The sequence below is a fragment of the Homo sapiens genome, chromosome 3, assembly GCF_000001405.40.
Source record: "Homo sapiens chromosome 3, GRCh38.p14 Primary Assembly".
NCBI classification, from domain to species: Eukaryota; Metazoa; Chordata; class Mammalia; order Primates; family Hominidae; genus Homo; species Homo sapiens.
This window is the reverse complement of record NC_000003.12, coordinates 133420131-133442278: the sequence shown is the minus strand read 5'-3', so window position 1 is coordinate 133442278 and position 22148 is coordinate 133420131. Positions and strand designations below refer to the sequence as shown.

Here is a 22148-nt window from a genome sequence, read left to right as displayed (position 1 = left end):
CAGTCCAGCTACTTGGGAGACTGATGTGGGAGGATCTCTTGAGGCCAGGAGGTCGAGGCTGCAGTGAGCTATGATTGCACCACTGCACTCCAGCCTGAGAGACAGAGTGAAAGTGAAAGCCCATCTCAGAACAAAAACAACACACAAAACAAAACAAAACTCTATAGAAGTGTCTCTTATACTTAGAGTAAAACCCAGTCTTCTGAAGTGGCCTTCAAGGCCCTGCATGCTTGTTACTCTTCCATTGCTCCAAAGGCTCCAGCCATGTGGGTCTTGGTCTTTCTGGACCATACCAGTCCCTCTCCTGCTCAAGGCCCTAGCACTTGCCGACTCCCCTGCCTGGCCCACTCCTCCCTTCCCCTTTGCATGAATAGCTCCCTCATTCTGGTCACCTTACTGCGAGCAGTGCTTCCCTTTACTCTGCCCCTTTCTGCTTTGTTAGTTTTCTTTAAAACACTTACCAAAGCTTGTATTATCAATTTTATGGTTTTTAAATTATTTTATCTGTATTTTCTGCTAGAATATAACCTCCTGGAAGTCAGGCACTGCCTTTCTGTCCTGTTTGTTGTTCCATCCCTAGCACAGTGTCTGGTACAGCAGGTATTAGTTGAATTAATGAGCCCAGCAGTAGTGCTACCTCTTTATGGAGAACCCAAGCAGGGAAGACCCAGTGCCTACCCTCAGGGAACAGCCAGGTTCTTACCTAGCTCCAACCTGAGAATCACCTTAAACATCTCTCTCTTCCTCATCCCCCAAGTCAAAAACCAACAATTCCCCAAGTAGATGTGCCCAAATCCATTCCCACTCCATTATCCAGCTTGGTTCAAGTCCTAATCATCTCTTTTCTGGTTTAACCTGATAGTTGTTACCTGGGGACAAAAACTAAGAAGCCCAAGCACAGTGAGTTAAGATTGCATCTGAGGCCGAGTGCAGGGGCTCACACCAGTGGCTCAGGGGATTACGAAGTATAATCCTAGCACTTTGGGAGGCCCAGGCAGACGGATCACCTGAGGTCAGGAGTTCGAGACCAGCCTGGCCAACATGGCAAAACCCAGTCTCTACTAAAAATACAAAAATTAGCCCGGCGTGGGTGTGCCTGTAATCCCAGCTACTCAGGAGGTTGAGGCAGGAGAATTGCTTGAACCTGGGAGGCGGAGGTTGCAGTGAGCCGAGATGGCGCCATTGCACTCTAGCCTGGGCAACAAGAGCAAAACTCCCTCAAAAAAAAAAAAAAAAAAAGATTGCATCTGAAAGTGAATTTAGGGGAAATGTCTTCAAGTAATGGAGAAGTCTAGCCATCTCTTGAGACAGTTCACTCACAAGCACAGTCACAGCCACTGGGTGTCCAAGGAGAATGAGAGACATCTGAGGGCTAAGGTTGGATTTCACTCTGGAAGCCACAATACACTTCTGAGCCTGTACTGTAAATAAACCCTGACTTCATCAGACTATGCTGTGGCTGGGAAGGAACGTCATTGTAGAGGGGCCAGATGAGCATGCAGTGAGAAGCTAGAACTGCTGGCCGGGGTTTATTTGCCATTGTTGGGCAAACAGGATCACCTTGGCCCCTAGAAGTCTGTCATGCTGAGGACAAAGTGTTTTAGGCTCCTCTTTCCCTGGAAGCCTCTCTGTCCCCCCAAGTTCTGATTCTGGGCCCACCTAGACTTCCACCTCCAGCAACCTCAGAAATACGAGGGCTTGCTTTGGATAGTAGGCATCAGTGCTGGTCACTAAAGAGGTTTAACCCCTACCATATATAGGGTTTAAACCCTACCATTTATAACACAGTCCTGGTTGTTTATGTCAGATGAGTTTGTTGTGAGACAGCCCTTTAGGGCTTAATTTTCTCCAGATGCCCCAACAAAATCAAATTTTGAGCCCCAGGCACATCCAGATACAGTGATTCTGACGGGGATCTATTTAGACAGCCAGCATCTCCTGCTGATATGGTTGGTTGTATCCCCACCCAAATCTCATCTTGAATTGTAGCTCCCATAATCCCCACGTGTTGTGGGAGGGACCTGGTGGGAGATAATTGAATCATTGAATCATGGGGGTAGGTTTTCCCGTGCTATTCTCATGATAGTAAGATAGTAAGTCTCACACAATCTGATGGCTTTATAAAGGGAAGTTCCCCTGCACATGGTCTCTTGCCTGCCACCATGTAAGATGTGCCTTTGCTCCTCCTTTGCCTTCTGCCATGATTGTGAGGCCTCCCCAGCCGTGGGGAACTGTGGGTTCATTAAACCTTTTTTCTTTATGAATTACCCAGTCTCAGGTATTTCTTCACAGCAGTAGGAAAATGGACTTATACTCCCTCTGTGACATTGCTTTCTCTCTCTCTCTCTCTGTCTGTCTCTGCTTTCTAACCTCTCACCCTCTCCCTTTCTACTGGAATGAACTTACTCAGATGCAGATTGGAACTCATGTTTTGAACTCATGTTTTATTTGAAGCTGTGCTCCGGAATGAACCTTCCCATGTCCCCTTGTCCTATGAAGTCTGTAGCCTGGGGCACAATTTGGACCTTGCTCTTCAGTCTAGTTTTATTTTTCCCTCACTCCCCAACCATGAACTGAGTTACTTTTCTGAACAGACTCAGGCCTTTCTAGCTTCCAGACCTTGACTCCTGCTGCTACCTCGGCATGTCATGGCAGACTGCCTCCTACTTTCCTTTGTCTGGTGAACTCCTATCCATCCTTCAAACCCTGGCTCAGGCTGTGCTAGGTATCCTCAGTACTCCCCATACTCACTGTGGTATATCAATCTCTGCAGTTTTTATGCTGCATGTTATTCTGATCTTTTCCTGCCTTTCTCCATCACTGATTTGTGTGACCTTGGATCAGGGACAGTCTCTCATCTCTGCTTCCTTAGCACCCAGTTCAGTGCCTGGCACATAGGTGCTCAATAAATGTTTGTTAACAGAATAGACTAAGCAAGCTAGCTGAGGAGAGAAATATAACACTAAACAACAGCAAACACATAAGGCAGAAAATAGAGGTACAGAACAAATATAAGATGCCTGAGAAGCAGAATTCACATTTTACAGCCAAACCTTCTTTATAAAAACCCCGCATAGAAGCAACAAAACAGACCAAACCAAAATATTTTTTAAAGCACTTACTACACTTATGCCACAGTCAGCCCTTCACAGGCATAATCTCATTTCATCCCTACATCTGAAGTAAGTGGTCACACTAAGTGGGTGAACAGCAGTTACTTCCATTATGTGATGAGGAAACTCAGTCTCAGAGAGTTTAAGTAACTTGCCCACATTGCTAAGTGGCTCAGCTAGAACTTAACTCACACCTGTCTGACCTCACAGACTGTGCTTGTTTTAAAAAATATCCTTTTAACTATGGGAAATTTCAACTATGTATAACTATATATAAAGGTAGAAAGAGTCTAGAATAATGACCCCCCCATCCCTCCACTTCAGCAATTGAAGTATCATGGCTAAATTTTACAATCTCTACCTACCAGCTTCCACCCCATCTGGGAGGCTATTATGCATATATCACTTGGAAAATCTGTAAATATTTCAGTAGTCCTTGCTCTATTTTGTAGTTCTTCTATTTTAATTTTAAAATTATTCAAGTGATAATTTAATTATCACCTGATTTAAAAAGTTAAACAGCACTGAAGACCTTCTAGAGACCAACATTTCCCTGACCCACACTTTCCTCTCCCCGCACCCTGCTGTCAGCACTTTCACCTTTTCTTTTTTCTTTTTTTGTTTTGTTTCTGAGATGGAGTCCCACTCTGCCACCCAGGCTGGAGTGCAGTGGTGTGATCTCAGCTCACTGCAACCTCTGCCTCCCAGGTTCCAGAGATTCTCCTGCCTCAGCCTCCTGAGTAGCTGGGATTAAAGGCATGTGCCACCACACCCAGCTAATTTTTGTAATTTTGTATTTTTAGTAGAGATGGGGTTTCACCATGTTGGCCAGGCTGGTCTCGAACTCCCAACCTCAGGTGATCCGCCTGCCTTGGCCTCCCAAAGTGCTGGGATTAAAGGCATGAGCCACCGTGCCTGGCCTTACTGTTTCTTTCATCCAGAGCCTGCCCACATATTTCTTGATTGCTCAAGTTATCTGCCACAGACATCGTTTACTGACTTCTAGCTGACAAATGAATATTTAACTTACTCACCCTCCACCTCCCTTTCCCTTTACTGGCTGTTTTGATCACTTTAAATAATAGAACTCTATTTCTTGTATCAACTATAGACAGTTTCCTCCTCATACTCACACTTTCTCTCTTATAATCTCAGATGTTTTATTTTCTAAGGTCAAAACGGAAGACAAAAAATCAGTTTAATTACTATGCTACTCTGCTGATGCTTCTGTGAAATATAGGTCCTTTCTGCTAAGAATTACGATGTAGGTGCCCCTGGCTGTCAGAAGCTATGGGCGGGTAGCCAAATCATTGTTTTGCTTCCCCACTGAGCATTCTCAGGCCTGCAGAATAATGCCAGCTATTTGATTATTTTTCACGGTGCTCCCTCTCCAGGGCAGGCCTGTAAAACCCATGCTCAGCCATCTTCCATTACCCCCATGTTTGAATCATGGTTCTAATGTTAAATAGCTCAGTTCCTTTTTCTTTCTTTTTCTTTCTTTCTTTCTTTCTTCCTTTCTCTCTCTCTTCTTTCTTTTTCTCTTTCTTCTTTCTTTTTTCTTTCTTCTCCTTCCTTCCTTCCTTCTTTCCTTCCTTTCGTTTGTTTTCATTTTTTTGGTTTTTGTTTGTTTGTTTTGTTTTTTGAGACTGAGTTTCGCTCTTGTTGCCCAGGCTGGAGTGCAATGGCGTGATCTCGGCTCGCCGCAACCTCCACCTCCTGGGTTCAAGCAATTCTCCTGCCTCAGCCTCCTGGGTAGCTGGGATTACAGGTATGTGCCACCATGCCCGGCTAATTTTGTATTTTTAGTAGAGACAGGGTTTCTCCATGTCGGTCAGGCTGGTCTCGAACTTCCAACCTCAGGTGATCTGCCTCCTTGGCCTCCCAAAGTGCTGGGATTACAGGTGTGAACCACTGTGCCCAGCCCTCAGTTCCTTTTCTTATAAAATTGAGCTGCTTTGCCTAGTTCAACCATTGTGGAAGACAGTGTGGCAATTCCTCAAGGATCTAGAACTAGAAATACCATTTGACCCAGCCATCCCATTACTGGATATATACCCAAAGGATTATAAATCATGCTGCTATAAAGACACATGCACACGTATGTTTATTGTGGCACTATTCACAATAGCAAAGACTTGGAACCAACCCAAATGTCCAACAATGATAGACTGGATTAAGAAAATGTGGCACATATACACTATGGAATACTATGCAGCCATAAAAAAGGATGAGTTCATGTCCTTTGTAGGGACATGGATGAAACTGGAAACCATCATTCTCAGCAAACTATTGCAAGGACAGAAAACCAAACACCACATGTTCTCACTCATAGGTGGTAACTGAACAATGAGGACACTTGGACACAGGATGGGGAACATCACACACCAGGGCCTGTAGTGGGGTGGGGGAAGCGGGGAGGGATAGCATTAGGAGATATACCTAATGTAAATGACAAGTTAATGGGTGCAGCACACCAACATGGCACATGTGTACATATGTAACAAACCTGCACGTTGTGCACAGGTACCCTAGAACTTAAAGTATAATAATAAAAAATAAAATTGAGCTGCTTTGTCTTGACAGTACCAGGTGCATAGTAAGCCAAACAAGTCAAACCCAAATGCTTTTTAAGCACTTGTTATGTATTATGCCATGGCAGTTCCTCACTAGAGAGAGCTTATGCTCTCTCTTGTTTGTGATAGAAAAATTGGAAGCAACCTATGCCTATCAACAGAAAAAGTCATAACCTATCATATAGACAAGGAACCTTCAATAAATTCATGGAAAAAAATGTGTATTATGAAAAAACAATACATAGATTTTTTTTTTTTTTTTTTTTTGAGACAGAGTCTCTCTCTGTCACCCTGGCTGGAGTGCAGCAAAGAGAACTTGGCTCACTGCAAGCTCCACCTCCTGGGTTCAAGGTATTCTTGTGCCTCAGTCTACCCAGTAGCTGGGACTACAGGCACACGACACTGCACTCAGCTAATTTTTTGTATTTTTAGTAGCAATGGCCTCAAGTGATCCACCTGCCTCGGCCTCCAAAAGTGCTGAGATTACAGACATAAGCCATCGTGCCCAGCCTAAATTTCAAATTTTTTTGCACCAAAATAAACTCATACTAAGTTCTTATATCTGAACAGAATAGTTCAGAATCAGATATAAGAGGCACTAAGAAGTATAAGACATCAGTTTGGAAAGAGCCCCTATCATAGCAACATGAATTCAGAAAAAATTAAAGCAAGAGAAAACATCAAATTTGTGGTGAAGCTTGAGTAGAAAAATAATGAAATCATGGGAGCTTTATGAAAAGTTTATGGGGACAATGCCCTAAAGAAATCAGCAGTTTACAAATGGATAATTCATTTAAGAAAGAATAAAATGATGTTGAAGACGAAGGCCATAGCAGCAGACAATTTGCAAGGGAAAAATTCATCTTGTACATGCCCTAATTGAAGAGGACCAATTATTGATCGCAGAAAGAATAGCTGACACCATAAACATATCCATTGGTTCAGCTTACACAATTCTGACCGAAAAATTAAAGTTAAGCGAACTTTCCACTTAATGGGTGCCAACACTGTTTTGCCCAGCTCAGCCGCAGACAAGAGCAGAGTTTTCAATGGAAATTTTAAACATGTGAGACCAAGATTCTGAAGCATTTCTTCAAGGAATTGTAACAAGAGATGAAACATAGCTTTACCAGTACAATCCTGAAGACAAAGCACAATCAAAGAAATGGCTAGCAAATGATGGAAGGGGTCCGGTCATAGCAAAGAGAGACAGGTCAAGAGCAAAGGTCATGGCAACAGTTTGTGATGCTCAGGGCATTTTGCTTGTTGACTTTCTGGAGGGCAAAAAATGACAACATCTGCTTATTATAAGAGTGTTTTGAGAGTTAGCTAAAGCATTAGCAGAAAAACACCTGAGAAAGCTTCACTAGAGAGTCCTCCATCATGACAAATGCTTCTGCCCATTCCTCTTATTGAATAATGGCAATTTTGCAAGAGTTTCAGTAGAAAATCATTAGGCGTCCACCTTACAGTCCTGATTTGGCTCCTTCTGGCTTCTTTTTGTTTCCTAATCTTAAAAAATCTTTAAAGGGCACTCATTTTTCTTCAGTTAATAATGTGAAAAGACTGCACTAACATTGCTAAATTCCCAAGGCCCTCAGTTCTTTAGGGATGAACTAAATGGCTGCTATCATTGCTTACAAAAGTGTCTTGAACTTGATGGAGCTGTTTATTTCACCTGGGTGCAGGTGGGCTGAGTCCGAAAAGAGTCAGCGAAGGGAGATAGGGGTGGGGCCGTTTTATAAGATTTGGGCAGGTAAAGGAAAATTACAGTCAAAGGGGGTTTGTTCTCTGGTGGGCAGGAGTGGGGGTCACAAGGTGCTCAGTGGGGTAGCTTTTTGAGCCAGGATGAGCCAGGAAAAGGACTTTCACAAGGTAATGTCATCACTTAAGGCAAGGACCGGCCATTTACACTTGTTTTGTGGTGGAATATCATCAGTTAAGGTGGGGCAGGGCATATTCACTTCTTTTGTGATTCTTCAGTTACTTCAGGCCATCTGGGCATATACATGCAAGTCACAGGGGTTGCGATGGCTTGGCTTGGGCTCAGAGGCCTGACATTCCTGCCTTCTTATATTAATAAGAAAAATAAAATGGTGTTGAAGTGTTGGGGCGGCGAAAATTTTTGGGGGGTGGTATGGAGAGAGAGAATGGGCGATGTTTCTCAGGGCTGCTTCGAGCGGGATTAGGGGCTGCGTGGGAACCTAGAGTGGGAGAGATTAAGCTGAAGGAAGATTTTTGTGGTAAGGGGTGATATTGTGGGGATGTTAGAAGAAACATTTGTCGTGTAGAATTATTGGTGATGGCCTGGATACGGTTTTGTATGAATTGAAAAACTAAATGGAATAAGAGAAGGAGAAAAACAGGTATAAAAGGTCTAAGAATTGGCAGGACCTAGGACATCTGATTAGTGAGTGCCTAAGGAGATTCAGCATAGTCCTGCCAGCAAAAATTATTTATTTACTTCAAGAGTTTAGAGTGGCGGTTTGGGAATAGCACCAAGAGATATCAGCTGTGATGGCTTGGAGAAACAGTGTAAACTGGCAGTGTAAACAAGAGCAGGGCATGTATGAGTAGTTGAGAACGGTGAATAGGAGTATGATTAGACAGAAGATAGGGATGACAAGTTTTTTGGGGCACAGTCTAAGTTGGTCTGGTGTCTGGAAAGAGACTGGGGCCTAATAAAAAGGAGCGTCTATACGGGAGCTTAAATGGGCTGTACCTTGTAGCATTCCGAGGACAGGCCTGAATTCTGAGAAGCGAAAGTGGTAAAAGTATTGTTCAGTCCTTTTTAAGTTGCTGGCTGAGCTTGGTGAGGTGTGTTTTTAATAGACCGCTAGTCTGTCACTGAATACTAAGAGCCTGAAAAAATGCTTGGCTGATTTGACTAATAAAGGCTGGTCTGTTATCAGAATGTATAGAGGTGGGAAGGCTAAACTGAGGAATTATGTCTGACAGAAGGGAAGAAATGACTGCGGTGGCCTTCTCAGACCCTGTAGGAAAGGACTCTACCTATCCAGTGAAAGTGTCTACCTAGACTAAGAGGTAGTTTAGTTATCTGACTCGGGGCTTTGAGTAAAGCTAATTTGCCAGTCCTGGGTGGGGGCAAATCCTCGAGCTTGATGTGTAGGAAAGGGAGGGGGCCTGAATAATCCCTGATGAGTAGTAGAACAGCAGATGGAACACTGAGAAGTTATTTCCTTGAGGATAGATTTCCACAATGGAAAGGAAATGAGAGGTTCTTAAGAGGCAGGCTAGTGGCTTGTACTATAGCATAGCCTGCCTTTGCTGGTGTGTGGCGATTAGGCCTGGTGGAACTGCCATCAAAAAACTAAGTGTGATCAGGGTGAGGAACAGGAAAGAAGCAAATATGGGGAAATGGGATGAATGTCAGGTGGATCAGAGAGATACAGTCATGGGGGTCAGGTGTGGTATCAGGAATAATGTGGGAGGCCAGATTGAAGTCCTGGCCAGGAACAATAGTAATTGTGGGACTTAACAAAGAGTGAGTACAGCTGAAGGTGCCGGGGAGCAGAAAGTATATGTGTCAGGTATGAGGAAGAAAATCGATTTTGGAAGTTATGAGAAATGTAGAGAGTGAGTTGAGCATAGTTTGTGATTTTGAGGGCCTCTAAAAGTATTAAAGCAGCGGCAGCCGCTGCACGCGGACATGAGGGCTAGGCTAAAACAGTAAGGTCAAGTTGTTTGGACAGAAAGGCTGCAGGATGTGGTCCTGGCTCTTGTGTAAGAATTCTGACCGCGCTAACCATGCCTAGGAAGGAAAGGAGTTGTTGTTTTGTAGAAGGTGCTGGGGTTTGAGAGATTAGTCGGACACGATCGGCAGGGAGAGCACGTGTGTTTTTATGAAGAATTATGCCGAGGTAGGTAACCGATGGAGAAGAAATTTGAGCTTTGGAGGGGGATACTCGATATCCTTTGGAGAATAAATGCTGAAGGAGCAGAGGTGTGTCTTGTTGAGAAGATTCAAAGGAGGGGCTACAAAGAAGAAGATCATCAATATATTGAATAAGGTGAGAAGCAGAGGGGTGGAAAGAAAGTAAATCATGAGAAAGAGCTTGGCTGAAGTAATGAGAGCTGTCCCTGAAACCTTGTGGCAGCACAGCCCAGGTAAGCTGCTGGGACTGATGGGTGTCAGCGTCAGTCCAGGTGAAAGCAGAGAGAGGCTGGGACGAGGGGTGCAGGGGAATAGTGAAAAAAGCATCTTTAAGATCAAGAACGGAATAGTGAGTTGTGGAGGAAGGTATTGAGGACGAAAGGGTGTACCGGTTGGGCACCACAGGGCGGATAGGCAAAACAATTTGGTTGATAAGGCGCAGATCCTGAACTAATCTGTAAGACTTGTGCGGTTTTTGGACAGGTAAAATGGGGGAATTGTAAGGAGAGTTTATAGGTTTTAGAAGCCCATGCTGTAGCAGGCGAGTGATAACAGGCTTTAATCCCTTTAAAGCGTGCTGTGGGATGGGACATTGGCGTTGAGAGGGGTAAGGGTGATTAGGTTTTAATGGGATGGTGATGGGCATGTGATCGGTTGCCAGGGAAGGAGTAGAGATGTTCCATACTTGTGGGTTAAGGTGGGGGGATATGAGAGGAAGACGCAAAGGAGGCTTTGGGTTGGGGAGAAGGGCGGCAATGAGATGCGGCTGTAATCCAGGAATAGTCAGGGAAGCAGATAATTTAAAGTGTCTCGGCCTAATAAGGGAACGGGGCAGGTGGGGATAACTAAAAAGGAGTGCTTAAAAGGGTATTGTCTAAGTTGGCACCAGAGTTGGGGAGTTTTAAGAGGTTTAGAAGCCTGGCTGTCAATACCCACAACAGTTATGGAGGCAAGGGAAATAGACCCTTGAAAAGAAGGTAATGTGGAGTGGGTAGCCTCGTATTGATAAGAAGGGGATGGACTTACCCTCCGCTGTGAGAGTTACCTAAAGCTCGGCGTCCGTGATGGTCTGCGGGGCTTCTGAGGCGATCGGGCAGCATCAGTCTTCAGCCGCTAAGCCAAGAAGGAGTCAGTCAGAGAGCCTCGGGCCAGAGTTCCAGGGGCTCTGGGAGTGGCTGCCAGGTGAGTTGAACAGTCCGATTTCCAGTGGGGTCCCGCACAGATGGGACACGGCTTAGGAGGAATCCTGGGCTGCGGGCATTCCTTGGCCTGGTGGTCAGATTTCTGGCACTTGAAGCAAGCTCCTGGGGGAGGAGGTTCTGGAGGAACGCCTGGCTGCTGCGGTTCAGGTGTTTGGAAGTTCTTGTGTGCTGGAGATGTGGCTGGGATTTGTCTCAGAGTGGAGGCAAGGAATTGCAACTTTTTTCTATTATTGTACACCTGGAAGGCGAGGTTAATTAAATCCTGTTGTGGGGTTTGAGGGCCGGAATTTAATTTTTGGAGTTTTATTTAATGTCAGGAGCAGATTGGGTAATAAAATGTATATTGAGAATAAGACGGCCTTTTGACCTTTTAGGGTCTAGGGCTGTAAAGCGTCTCAGGGTTGCTGCCGAACGAACCATGAACTGGGCTGGGTTTTTTATATTTGATGAAAAAGAGCCTAAACGCTATCTGATTTGGGGTAAAGAAAAAGGAGCATTAACCTTGACTATGCCTTCAGCTCCAGCCACCTTTTTAAGAGTAAATTGCTGGGCAGGTGGGGGAGGGCTAGTCACGGAATGAAACCATAAGCCGGACCAGGTGTGAGGAGGGGAGGTGATAAAAGGAGCGGACCAGGGTGGAGGAGCGGAGGCTGAGGAAGAATTGGGACCTAGCTCGGCCTGGTGAGGAGGGGAGAGGTCAGATGGGTCTGTAGAAAAGGAAGATTAGAAAGACTCAGCGACGCTTGGGGTTGGGACTGAGGGGACAGGCGGGAGGGAAAGAAGGAAGATTTGGGATGAGTTGCATTGGGAACAGAGACTAGAGAGGGACCGATGCGTAAAAGAATGCCTGGACGTCAGGCACCTCAGACCATTTGCCCATTTTATGACAAGAATTATTTAGATCTTGTAGGGTGGAAAAATTGAAAGTGCCGTTTTCTGGCTATTTGGAACTACTGTCGAGTATGTATTGGGGTCAAGCGGCATTGCAGAAGAAAATCAGAGAAATGCAAATCAAAACCACAATGAGATACCATCTCACACCAGTTAGAATGGCGATCATTAAAAAGTCAGGAAACAACAGGTGCTGGAGAGGATGTGGAGAAATAGGAACACTTTTACACTGTTGGTGGGACTGTAAACTAGTTCAACCGTTGTGGAAGTCAGTGTGGCGATTCCTCAGGGATCTAGAACTAGAAATACCATTTGACCCAGCCATCCCGTTACTGGGTATATACCCAAAGGATTATAAATCATGCTGCTATAAAGACACATGCACACGTATGTTTATTACGGCACTATTCACAATAGCAAAGACTTGGAACCAACCCAAATGTCCAACAATGATAGACTGGATTAAGAAAATGTGGCACATATACACTATGGAATACTATGCAGCCATAAAAAAGGATGAGTTCATGTCCTTTGTAGGGACATGGATGAAACTGGAAACCATCATTCTCAGCAAACTATCACAAGGACAAAAAACCAAACACCGCATGTTCTCACTCATAGGTGGGAATTGAACAATGAGAACACATGGACACAGGAAGGGGAACATCACGCACCGGGGACTGTTGTGGGGTGGGGGTAGTGGGGAGGGATAGCATTAGGAGATATACCTAATGCTAAATGACGAGTTAATGGGTGCAGCACACCAACATGGCACATGTATACATATGTAACTAACCTGCACATTGTGCACATGTACCCTAAAACTTAAAGTATAATAAAAAAAAAAAAAGTTTACATTTTGTATTTTTATCTCTTAATTCCATTTTTTTTCCAGGAACATTTTGAAGTCCCCTCATATACAATGAAATGATAGATTTGTCAACACAGATAAATCTCAAAAACACAATAAGTGAAGAAAGTAAGTTGCAGATGGAAATAATATGTGATGGTCAAACAATCTAGATGTTTCCGTGAAGGTGTTTTTGGATGAGACTAACATTGACATTGGTGGACTTTGAGTAAAGCAGGTTGCCTGCGTGCCATAATGTGGGTATTCTCATCCAATCAGTTGCGGGATTTAACAGAGCAAAGACTGAGGTCCCCTGAGAAAATAGGATTCCACCAGCAGACAGCCTTCAGCCTTGAACTGCAGTGTCACCTCTTCACTGGGCCTCCCAACCTGCTGACACTTTGATCTTGGACTTCTAGCCTCCATAACTGTGTGAGCCAATTCCCTAAAATAAATCTCTCTCTGTACACATTCTATGGTTATGTTTCCCTGGAGAACCCTGACTAATACACAGTATAACACAATTTAACATAAAGTTTAAAATAATGCAAAATAGTCCTAGGAAAGGTTTTATACATATGTAGTAAAACTTTCATGGGAGTGGTAAGCACCAAATTTAGGGCAGCAGTGACCTCTGGGGGGGTGGGGGTGGAATTCAATCAGGACAGAGTACAAGGGGAGTTTCAATTATATCTAAAATCTTTGATTTCAGGTTTTAAAAAAAGGTTTTTTAACAAATAACACTGAGTTGACAATGCTGAGTATTAGGTGGCTTTTTATGTGTTAAAAATATTTCATAATTAAGAACAGAATGAGATCGATCGCATAAATAAAATCAACTTGGAAAAGAAAACTAGCACAGTGGCTGATACATCTTGGGACCCTGACAGACACAGGGAGAGACTGGCTGGGACAAGTTTGATGGAGAAGGCAGGTCAGAGCGAGGGCAGGCGGTATGGAAGTGTGGCCTTAGGGAACAGTGGGCGGGGTGACTGCAGAGGTCATGTGGACGCAGTCCCAGTCACCCAGGTGGCTCTCCAACAGGCCCTGCGTGTTTACCCGAAGGTGGCCCTGCACAGACAGTTATCCCCGACTTTCCTCTGACAAGATATTTCCTGGGCACTTGCCAACATCAGAGGAATCTAAGTTCCTCAGAAATTCGCGTGGGACCTGTTGAGGCTTACGGCAGATCACAGGTGCTCCTTTCCTATCCCAGGCGTGGCTGCTGCAGCAGGTACTGTCACTGCTCTGACCCATCCTCTTTTTTTTTTTGGAACTATTTTTTTGTGTCCCCACGTTCCATGTGCATTCACTCCCCACAGCTGGGCCCTGTGGCTCATTTGTGGAGCAGTGCCCTAGGGCCCCAGAGCTTGACTTACTGGCTCTGTCTGACAGCTGGGGGCATGAAAGCCCAGCGCCCTGGCTTGGGGGTGGGGCAGCCCTGAGGTGGCTCCCTTGCTTGGTCTTCCCTCTGTGTCCTGCCTCCCTGCCTCTTGCGGGTTTCTCCAGGAGCACTTCCATACTACGTGGCCCACAAGAGAACCCTAGGCTTGGGCTTTGCGTCTCAGGAATCCAATCTAACATAAGTGTTCTCCTCAGCCTCATGCTTTTCCTCCTGGAAAACCTCAAGGTCAAACTGTTTTGAGCTTTAGTCTGTCGAGAGTGGACCCGGGCATACAGACTCTGGAATCCAACTACCCACGTTAAAGGTTTTGTCTCTATCACTTCAACCTGTGAATCTTGGAAAAGTTATTTAACTGGTGCTGTGTATCAGTTTCCTCATCTATAAAAAGGAATCATACAAGGAATGGCCTCATAGGGTTTTTGTGAGGTTAAATGATTTAAGATGTGCAAAACCCTCAGAACAAATTCTGGCATATAGTATGTGCTCAATAAATTCCAGTTTTCTTAATCTCCACTGGAACTAAGGGACACTTACGGGCAATAAAGGGATAGATATGCTTTACCCCTTGGCCCAGGCTAATGTAACGAAGGGAACAAACTATTCTCTGTTGTCAGAAACATAACCTCAATTGATTCCAGTGGGACGTAATGGACAGTTTAGTGTGTTGTTGCCAGGATGGATGTGTCTGATGTCCTACTGGAAGAATCATGAAAGAATCCTCAACCTTACACTGCCTGAAATGCCACCCCATTCTCCAACCCCAAGCTGGCTGAGGAGCAGGGAGGTGGGATTCTGGTAAGTAGAGGATTAGGAAGGGCAGGGAAATGCTCACTTGATCTTGTGTGAACATCAGCAAAAAGAAGGTATAGGACTCAAAGTGTTAGGCTTGGATTGGGAAACCAAGGTTCAAGTCCTGGCTCTGCTTTTCACCAGACATCGTATTTATCACTGCTGAGCTTCAGTTTCTTTACCTGTAAAAAGGAGGTAATGACACCTGTTCTGCTTATTCTAAAGGGAGGCTGTGAGGATCTAGAGGATACAGCTACGGAGAACATGCTGGGTTCCTTGAGCTGCTAAGCACTGAAGTCCCACCAATGGTGACGAAGGTCTAAGGAGAACATTGCAATTGCACAAAATGATCCTTGGAAATTCTTTAGAAGGGCACCATCTTGGAGACCCAGAATCAATAAAACCAGCATGGCTGGGAGTTTTCTCCAGCATTTGAATAAATTGTTGTTTCTTTGGTTGAACCATGATGAGATAATTGGCTTAAACCAGGAGTCATGCATGGTATCTGGAAACTTCCTCACTTGAATCACCAGCATCATACTCAGCATGCATAATCCTCTCATCATGAGAGGCACAGGGGAAATGAGCCAGCCTGTCTGGAAAGGAAGCAAATGCATGCTTTCCATCTCCCACTCAGTACTGGACATGAAGCTATGTCATCACCACTTAATGCCAGCACCACTTAAATGATGTTTCTCTCTCTCTGCCCTGTACTTGCTGGAGGCACATGCCCATATCACGTAGGGTGTCAGGGCAGAGAGCTCTTAGGAAGAGCTGAGCTGTGGGGACTTCCTCCCACGCAGAAGAGGGAGGCCTCTGCAGAATTCTCTGCCATGTGCTTCTAGGCTTCCTCAACTCAGAAATTTTATTATAGAGTTTTAGAATGTGAAGAGCTCTTGGAAATCATGAAAGATGAAGAATCAAGATGGAAGTTTGATGGCTTGTCCCAGGCCCCAGAGTGGACCCTTTGCTTTTTGGAATCCAACAGCAAGGACTCATGGGAATATCGTGGGATTTGACTTGGAGAGACAGGGCTCAAACCTCATCTTTGTCACTTAGTGATTGTGTAATTCTCTAAAAGTCTATTTGTAGAAAAGGGATAAGGGAGCTTTCTTTCCTGGATTTCAAGATGATTAAAAGAGATGTATGTATAAAGGGATGCTCAGTTGTCTGAGCTGAGATGACTGCAAAGTCACTGCACTCCTCTTACAATGCCTGACAGGTGCTTCCATCTTTGGGAGGTGTGGAGCCCTTGACAGGCACGTCAGCAGGGGGCATTTGGGAGGGCAGCCTGCGAGGGTGAGGGGATGCCAGTGGGCCATACTGCAGAGGCAGAAACTTGGGGGAGGGGTCACAGGCGGTCAACTGAAGAAGGGGCTTGTGCCTGCAGATGCTCCAAGAGGGGAGTCTAAGAGGAATCCAGAAAAGTGTCCCCAAGAGAAAGAATCTGACTTTAATGTTAGCCGGACCCAGATGCTGTGACACTAACTTAAAACAATATCTGACAAGGAAGAGCTTTTTCCCTTCCCTTCCCTTCCCTTCCCTTCCCTTCCTTTCCCTGCCCTGCCCTGCCCTGCCTTCCCCTCCCCCATCCCCTCCCCCTCCCCCTCCCCTCCCTTCCCTTGCCTTCCCTAGCCTTCCCTTGCCCTCCTTTCTCTTATTTCCCTTGCCTTCCCTTCCCTTCTTTATTTCCCTTCCCTTCCCTTCCTTTCCCTTCTTTATTTCCCTTCCCTTCTTTATTTCCCTTCCCTTCCCTTCTTCCCTTCCCTTCCCTTCCCTTTCCCTTTCCCTTTCCCATCCCTTTGTCCTGCTTAGATTTCAACTGGGCTAGAAACAGCCACAGGGAAGTGGGAGTGAGGAGAATAGCAGGAAAGAGAGACGGAACTGACTTCAGCATCCTTGCTAGGTGCTTGGCCCTACCTGGGCAGGGGAGAAAGTGAGGGTTGATATGTTGAATAATATATCAACTGGACATTCTATTTCCTGAGTTGATACTGTTTTGTGGCTTAAAACGAGTGTGATGTTTTTAGTTTCCTGCAAGTGATCAGAAAAATCATGGGACCCTCCATGTTTTCGCCCAGGGGCTGGGAAGAATGTCTACCACCCACTGAGCAAGTTGAAAGGGATCTTGGGAGAGGGCCCTATCAAACCAAAGCTGCATTTGTAACTGTACTTCGTGAGTCCTTCCTGTTTGACCTACGGTTGACATCCATCACGTGCCCAGCACAGTGCTTGGCATGTAACAGGGATGGACCAGTGTGTGGATTTGTTTACACTTCATCCCTTCTAGACCTCCAGGTCCCAGAGTCCAAGAATTTTGGCTCTAATATTTGAACTCCCATAGTGCTTGGTGCATAGTAAGCCCTCATTAAAAATCTCATGAATGACCATAATAAAACCGAAACCTGTGCCAGCCTTATAGTAGCTACCATGACAATGTCATACTGAGAGACTGCTGGTGAGGAAGAAGGCAGGGCCAATGCATGCCACCGTCACCCAGGATTCTGTATTTACACGTGACAGTAGTTACACCCACAGGCTAAGGAGTTGTAGCCTTATCTGTGACACTAACAAAGCCTTTTCCCACTGATTTCATTCTCCTTTAAATTTCAAAGGGATCAGAACCAGGCCAGGCATGGTGGCTCACGCCTGTAATCCAGCACTTTGGGAGGCTGAGCCTAGCGGATCACCTGAGGTTAGGAGTTTGAGACCAGCCTGGCCAACATGGCGAAACACTGTCTCTACTAAAATACAAAAATTAGCGGGGAGTGGTGTTGTGCACCTGTAATCCCTGCTACTTGAGAGGCTGAGGCATGAGAATTGCTTGAATCCAGGAGGCAGAGGTTGAACTGAGCCGAGATTGTGCCAAGGCACTCCAGCCTGGGTGACAGAGTGAGACTCTGTCTCAAAAACAATAACAACAACAATCAAAACAAAAACAAAAAACAAACAAACCCACAAAAGGATCAGGACCATGATGGCAGGTGGAATGATAACTCTCCTTTTCCAGATAAAGCAGCTGGAGGTGGGAGAGATTAGGGACCTGGGCAAAAGTATTTGGTGGGCTGAGACTGGAACTCAGGACCTTTGACTCTAAACTCAAGGTCTGACCTAAGCTCCACAGCAACCCAGAATGCACCTGAAAAAGGAAAGAAACGAGGTTTCTTCTGTCACGAATAGAAGTAGAAGAGAAGGCCGGGCATAGTGGCTCACGCCTGTAATCCCAGCACTTCGGGAGGCCGAGGCGGGTGGATCACGAGGTCAGGAGTTCGAGACCAGACTGACCAAGAAGGCGAAACTCCATCTCTACTAAAAATACAAAAAAAAAAAAAAAAAAAAAAAAAAAAATTAGCTGGACGCGGTGGTAGGCGCCTGTAATCCCAGCTACTTCTGAGGCAGGAGAATCGCTTGAACCCGGGCGGCGGAGGTTGCAGTGAGCCGAGATTGAGCCACTGCACTCCAGCCTGGGTGACAGAGTGAGACTCCATTCCCCGCCGCCCCCGCCCCCGCAAAAAAAAAAAGCAGAAGAGAATAGAAACAGACTAGCTGGTCGATATATGCAAAGTCTCAGGGGAAAATGAAATTTTATGGTTGATTTATAATCCTCAGGAAATTGGGAGTTGTCCTGGAAATTCTGACGTGAAGCGGACGACTGCAGGGCAGTATGAATTGCGTGACTGGCTTCCCAGGATCAAGGTGGCTTTGGCAGTCAGGAGGTGATTATAGGAGTCCAGGGCTTGACACAAAGAACATTTTGCCGCTGAGTGACTAGGTATGTAAGACAGTTCCTAGAGCAGCCAGCAGGTGGCGCCACCTGCCAAGAGAACCAGGTCAGAGGCGGTAGCCCGGGACACCCCTATCTCAAAGGGGCTCTGGCAAATCTGATTTGGCCTGCAGGCCACTCTGAGATCGCTGCCACAAAGTGGAATGCTCCTGAGTCAGCGGGACCATCCCTGTGTAACGTTGTGCAAATGCTCATTCCTACCCCCGCCCCCGCCGCCTCCCCCACCACCCCACCGCCCGCCCCCAAAGTACGGAAAAGTTGGCTGGGCAGGTGATGTCAGAGGGCTGTGTAGTCCATGCGGTTATTATTGTTTTAAGTACTATAAATGATGACGCAGATTACTACCACAGTTTGCCGAATGCTTACCATGGGCAAGCACTATGCTAAGTGTTCTAAGTGAATTATTTAATTCCCACAACAACCCGGTGGAGTGAATAGTACAGGACGTTGGAATTCAGAGAGGTTAAGCGATTTGCCTTGGGTCACAAAGCCAGTCAATGGCAAAACCAGAGTTTGAACTCAGTTCTTTTGCACTTTACGGCTTGCACCATTAGCCACTGTGATATTCTGTTGCAGTCTCCCTCTTTCCCTCCCTCCCTTTCTTCCTTCCTCTTCCATCCTTCCTACTTTCCTTATTGCCTTCCTGACTTCCTTCTCTTCTTTCTTTGTGCCTGGCATTGTGCTAGGTTTTAGGTTCAGAAATAATCAGACTATACCTCTGCTCTTAGGATTTTCAGTGTAACAAAGAAGCTCAAAATCACAGCAGTGGGTATCTGGAACCATGACAGGGTGTGTCCAAGAAGGAGCAAGAAGGCTCACGTATTCAGTACCAGGTATAGGCAGGCACAATCCTGGGGCTGTCCAAGTTAGAAATTCCAGCTGTTCATTGGTTTAATCTGGGCTTTTGTGAACTTGGGTGAGGCGTTGGCTTTGCTGTCTCTCGGCAACCCCCCTGTCCGGACAGTTTCTCCCTACCCTGCTATTTGGCAACACCTGGGCTATATTCTGGCAGGTGCTGGGCTGGGGGTAATATAACTGCTGCTTCATTAATGTTGGGGCATAGGCTACCACCTGAGCCTCAGGAATGAAGGAGGTGCCCAAAATGTACTGAACATTCCCATTTCCAGCCAGCCAACCAAAGAATGGGGACAATGAGCTCATCGGAGGCTGCCTCTCTTCTATAGGCTTCATCCACTGCTCAGAGATGATGGGGAGCAGTGACAGCCTCCTCTATGGCTGCGGGCTTGGGAGATCAGAACATTCCACCCTCTGATTTTACAGATGAGGAGCCTCAGAGGGAGAGGGCTTCATCTCAGGGTACACAGAAGTGAAGAGAGAGGTAGGAGTCAGTGGCACCAGGTTTCTGCATGTCCAGGGAAACGATCCATCTCATCTACCTACCAGAATTCTAAAAGGGAATCTTGCCTATTCCCTGTGTGTGTGCAGGGAGATGTCAGTGAGATCCAATGCCTTTATCTAACAGTTAAGAAAACTGAGGCTGAGAGAGGTGGAGTAACTTGTCCAAGGTCACACAGCAGCTTAGTGGCATTTACTGTGTTTCTACTATATGAACAGCATTCTCTTGGACTCTCTGTACAGCTTTCCTTTCTGGACCCCAATAGCCCAAGTAGTTTGATAGGATGTGGTGGATTTTTTTTTTTTTTTTTTTTTGAGATGGAGTCTCGCTTTGTTGCCAGGCTGGAGTGCAGTGGCGCTATCTTGGCTCACTGCAACCTCTGCCTCCCGGTTTCAAGCAATTTTCCTGCCTCAGCCTCCCGAGTAGCTGGGACTATAGGTGCGCACCACCACACCCAGCTAATTTTTGTATTTTTAGTAGAGGCGGGTTTTCACCACGTAGGCCAGGATGGTCTTGATCTCTTGACCTTGTGATCCACCCGCCTTGGCCTCCCAAAGTGCTGGGATTACGGGCGTGAGCCACCACGCCCAGCCAGGATGTGGAATTTAATTTCAAGTACAAAAGGAAGAGAGGATGAAATGGGTTAGGTGCAGAAATACTGATATTTCTGCAACATTTTTAAATGACAGTTGACAAAACAGGACAAAATGTTGGGAATCAGGACTATAATGTGAAAAGAACAATAGCCAGTGTTATGGATTCAATTGTGTACCATCCAAAAGATAAGTTGCAGTCCTGACCCCCAGTACCTGTGAAGGTGACCTTTTTTTTGGAAATAAGATCTTTACAGATGTCATCAAGTTGAGGTCATTAGGGTAGGCTCTCATCTAATGTAACTGGCATCCTTATGAAAAGAGGAAAATTTGGACACAGACATATGGAAGAATGAAGGTAGAGATGGGGGTGATGCATCTACGGGCCAAGGAAGGCCAAGGATTGCCCGCCATCACCAGAGCTGGGAGAGCAGCCTGGGACCGATTCTCTCCCACAGTCCTCACAAGGAGCTGCCCCTGCTAACATCTTGGTTTCCAGCCTCTAGTCTCCAGGCCTGTGAGAGAATAGCTTTCTGTTGTTTTAAGCCACCCAGTTTGTAATCCTTTGTTATGGTAGCCCTGGGAAACCAACATAGCTGCCTCTTATTAACTGATTACTTTGTGGGGCACTTCCATTTGTTGATTTAACCAATATTTATCATGCATCTATGTGCTGGCCGCCATCCTGGGTGATAGAGAAACAGCAGGAGCCAGAGAGGACAGGTTCCTCCCTTCCCGACGCATACTTTCTAGTTTACATGCATTATCTCCAGCCAGCATCCCCACAGCAATCCTATGAAACAGGGATTATTCTCCCTTAATGTGTAGATAAGGAAATGGACTCTTAGGGGTTAGTAACAGGGCCAGGGCCTCTCTTGTGGGAAGGAGTCAGCTGGACTTGCTATGTTCTAACTCAGTTGATTGCATAGATGCAGGACTGCCAAGATAGACTCTGGGGGAGAGATGGGTGAGACAGGTAGGAGTGTGGATTCCAGGGACACACTCTGCTCAGCACGTGAGAGGCACAGAGTGGGCCCTGCTCCTAAAGTCACAGCACAGCCCAAACAATTACCTCTCAGCCCCCAGCCTCACAGGGGCTGCACAGGACACGTGAGAAGAGAGGTCGCTTGCACCTCCGTTCTGACTCCGTGGTCCTCCCACTACTGTGGAGGAGGAGGCTGAGGATGCCTGCTTGCTGTAAGGAAGGAAAACCATGGCCCTGACCGTTGGCAGCTGACAGCTAGACCAGAGTATTCTCACCTATGCACGAGCGTTTACAGAATATCAGCAATAATCAGACCAGCTCACTCTGTGATCATGGTGGAAGGAGATGGAGACAAGGGCACGCGGTGATTCTATCTGGACAGAGAGGCAAGGACGCTCTGCAACCACAAAAACTCAACATCCCCTCTTCCAGCTGATTCGAGTGATGACTGCTGCTTCTTTACTAACAGCAGCTCTATGCCTGCTTCATTCCTTCTACCTCTTGTGTAAAGATTATTAAGATCCCCAATCATCAAACTGCCCCTACTTCCTGACAGCATCAAATGCAGAACAAGCCTTTCTTAAACCTTTCCCCAACAACCTAACACAGGCCTAAACCTCATAACAAGCCCCTCCCAACTCCCTTTTCCTGAGATGTCCCGGGTTCTCCTGGTACATTTTTCTGTTGCTGCGGCATGCTAATACACTCTTT

The 22148-nt window shown here is 45.9% G+C and overlaps 1 protein-coding gene and 1 long non-coding RNA gene across 15 annotated transcripts in view, besides 2 other annotated features; one reads left to right on the top strand and one right to left on the bottom strand.

The window, feature by feature from the left end:
• Positions 1–15877, top strand: part of BFSP2-AS1 (BFSP2 antisense RNA 1) — a 64708-nt gene extending 48831 nt beyond the window's left edge. For 4 of the 13 annotated variants that reach the window (NR_189058.1, NR_189055.1, NR_189056.1 and 1 more), the window contains one exon: positions 14944–15877. This is a non-coding gene — a long non-coding RNA (BFSP2 antisense RNA 1). Of the gene's footprint in view, positions 1–4783; positions 4882–12569; positions 12994–14943 lie in introns of those variants that run through there. The other 9 variants (NR_189057.1, NR_189059.1, NR_189064.1 and 6 more) reach the window with 3 other exon arrangements.
• Positions 1–22148, bottom strand: part of BFSP2 (beaded filament structural protein 2) — a 75153-nt gene that overhangs the window by 32930 nt on the left and 20075 nt on the right. The window lies entirely within an intron of this gene.
• Positions 42–321: an enhancer, noted in NCBI's record as "active region_20542". NCBI's record gives its function as "activates an Ori minimal core promoter by ATAC-STARR-seq in GM12878 lymphoblastoid cells {active_cell/tissue: GM12878}" and the evidence as "EXISTENCE:reporter gene assay evidence [ECO:0000049][PMID:35858748]".
• Positions 18378–18427: an enhancer, noted in NCBI's record as "active region_20541". NCBI's record gives its function as "activates an Ori minimal core promoter by ATAC-STARR-seq in GM12878 lymphoblastoid cells {active_cell/tissue: GM12878}" and the evidence as "EXISTENCE:reporter gene assay evidence [ECO:0000049][PMID:35858748]".